Raw genomic sequence first — 2858 nt, forward strand, 5'->3', positions numbered from 1 at the left:
CAGTAAAGTGCCTTAAGAGTAGCAGGTGCTGAATAACTGCTTGTTTCATGAGAGAATTAATAAAGAACTCAAGAGACATTTGCAAGGCAGCTGCTTGGGATTAGTGGGAATTTCTGAGGCCCCATGAAGCCGAAGAGCTCAATCCATAGGTGAAAACCTCGACCTTGTGTCCTTGGTTTAACCATTCCAAAGCCAACACTGAACGGACCAGTCCAAGTGGGGGCACTGCCCTGGCTGTTCACTCCAAGCAAGCCTATATTCTGCGAAATGGGGGGACCTACCTGTGCTGAGGAGGGTGGCAAGCGGGTTCTCCTGCTAGTTCCACCATTTACTCAGCTGTAAGAGAGTGGACAAATGAAAACAAACCATCCAGCATCCACAGCTTGATAAAAATTTCCAGACTGAATATTGATTCATTACACTATGTCATATGTACTTTTAAATTCTTGATCTTTGAAATGTCTTTTTAGTTTTACAATTAAAAATAACATTTTATTCAATATTACTGAAAGTTCTATGATTGAATATAACACTTCCTTGTTTCACTGCCTCCCATTTCATCTTGTCTCCCTTATCGGAGGCAACCATTTTCACCTTTTTTGGCTTTTTCTTGGTCTTGAAAAAATATTTATATGCCTACTATCTTTTGATTCATTAATTTTAAATATTATCTAATTCCTATCATGACAGATAAGAATTTAATCCTCTTATACTCCCTTTCCCTCATCTTCTTTCACCAATCCTCCTAAATAGCAATTATAAAAATGTTAGTTTAATGAATATCAGTGTTATTATTATGCTATGCAAATATTATATATAGCTGTGCATTGTAGGGTATTATGATTACATTTTTAAAAATGTTCTTCCTGAAGTTAGCAAGTATCTTGTTTTATCATTTCTTTAGAATTTTGTGCCCCTTGTTCAGTCTTTCCACATCTTCTTTGTTCTGGTTTTCAATAAGGTTCATTGCATCAGTAAAGGATCAGTTCATATGTTCCTTCCTGGGACACAAGGGAGATCACCAGTGCCTGTCTTCCAGGATTGGTTTCTCATGGATGAGGTCATCCATGCAGCCTCATCATGGGACTTCCCACCCAGTCATCCCAGGAAGTCCCCTTCTCCTGAATCAGATCCCTGCTTTCTGAGTCTTACGTCTTCTTTCTTTTGCTGTCTGATTTATATTGTTGGTGCATTTTTTCAGTTGCATCATCAGGTTAACGGGATGGCATCAAGCAAAAGGCATGCGCATAGTCTGCTCAGTGTGTCGGTGTCCTGTGTGCCACAGCTCCCCAGGCAGTTTGCTCCCAGGCCTGAGAAGAGTTAGTAGCTTGGGATCTCCCTCTACCATTATCCTAGAGATTCATTTATCTTCTCTCATATTGGATTCCTCTTTTCTCTATTTCAGATTATCCTTTTTGTTTTATTTTATTTTTGCTTTCCTCAACAACTTCCCAAGAAAGTGAGTATGAGCGGTAAACGTTTTGGGACCTAGCATGTCAGAAACATCCTTTGACTGTATAAAATTTAGGTTGGAAATATTTTTTTCTTCAGAAATTTGAAGGCATTTGGCCGGGCAAGGTGGCTCATGCCTGTAATCCCAGCACTTTGGGAGGCTGAGGTGGGCAGATCACTTGATGTCAGGAGTTTGAGAACAGCCTGGCCAACATGGTGAAACCATTTCTACTAACAATACAAAAATTAGCCAGGCATGGTGCCACAGGCCTGTAATCCCAGCTACTCTAGAGGTTGAGGCAGGAAGAACTGCTTGAACCTAGGAGGCAGAGGTTGCAGTGAGCCAAGATGGCACCACTGCACTCCAGCCTGGGTGATAGAGCAAGACTCTATATCAATAAATAAATAAATAAATAAATAAATAAATAAATAAATAAATAAAAAATAAATAAAAATTTAAAAAAAGAAAAGAAATTTGAAGGCATTCATTGTCTTTTGGTTAGCATCAGGGTTCCTTTAAAGAAATCTGAAGTTATTCTGATGTTTTAATTATTTGTGTATGAACTGCTTTTTTTCTGTGAACATTTTTATGATCTTCTCTTTGTCCCTAGTTTGCTGAAATTGATATTAATGCTTCTTGGTGGATTTATAGACCATAATTGTTGCAATAATGCTGCATAACAAATGACCCTGAATGTCAGTGGCTTTTCTCACTCACGGCTCTGCAGGTCAACTGCTTTGGCTCCGTGTGTATTTATGGGTCAAGTTCAGGCATTGCATTTCTCAGCTTGGAGCCCAGGCTGAAGGAACATTTGCTACCTGCAGGGTAAACTTCTCAGGGCACCAGGCAAGAGTGTTTAAGTTTCATCCAAACACCATGGGCACACTTATAGCCTCTGGCCAGATGTAGGGTATATCAAACCCAGTTGTGTTCCATCGCTCAGTGCAAGTCATATGGCCAAGTCCAAGTCAAAGGAGCAATGAGGTTTCCCTGTCCACAGTGAACTAACACAAGAGTGAGGAGGGGAAAAGAACCATAAACCAATCACACAATTTCATGTTGTGTAGATCTGGTTTCATCCCTTGAATTGGGTATTGATGGGCCATTTCAGGCTGCAAACTCATGTCTTGCAGTTCTGAGGAATTATTGTGAATAATTGTATTCATGTTTTCTTACACTCCATATTCTTTATTCCTGATTTCTGGAACTCTTGTTTTCCCAGCATTGTACCTCTTGGACTTGTTTCTGATTTTCTCTTCCTTCCTATTATTCACCTCCTAAGTCTTTATTTTTTCTACTTTTCTGTTCAACTTTATCTTCCAATATATATATCTTCCAATAATATAGTTTGTTTTTATTTTTTCTCTCAGCACCATCTCTATTTCCTCTAAGTTGTTTTTGCTAG

The 2858-nt window shown here is 39.1% G+C and overlaps 1 annotated feature.

Annotated features, from left to right (window-relative positions):
* Positions 290 to 1489: an enhancer, noted in NCBI's record as "BRD4-independent group 4 enhancer chr2:5937560-5938759 (GRCh37/hg19 assembly coordinates)". NCBI's record gives its function as "activates an origin of replication core promoter dependent on BRD2, P300/CBP, MED14 and CDK7 cofactors, and independent of BRD4, by STARR-seq in HCT116 cells {active_cell/tissue: HCT116}" and the evidence as "EXISTENCE:reporter gene assay evidence [ECO:0000049][PMID:35650434]".

Source organism: Homo sapiens, chromosome 2, assembly GCF_000001405.40.
Source record: "Homo sapiens chromosome 2, GRCh38.p14 Primary Assembly".
In the NCBI taxonomy this organism is placed as follows: Eukaryota; Metazoa; Chordata; class Mammalia; order Primates; family Hominidae; genus Homo; species Homo sapiens.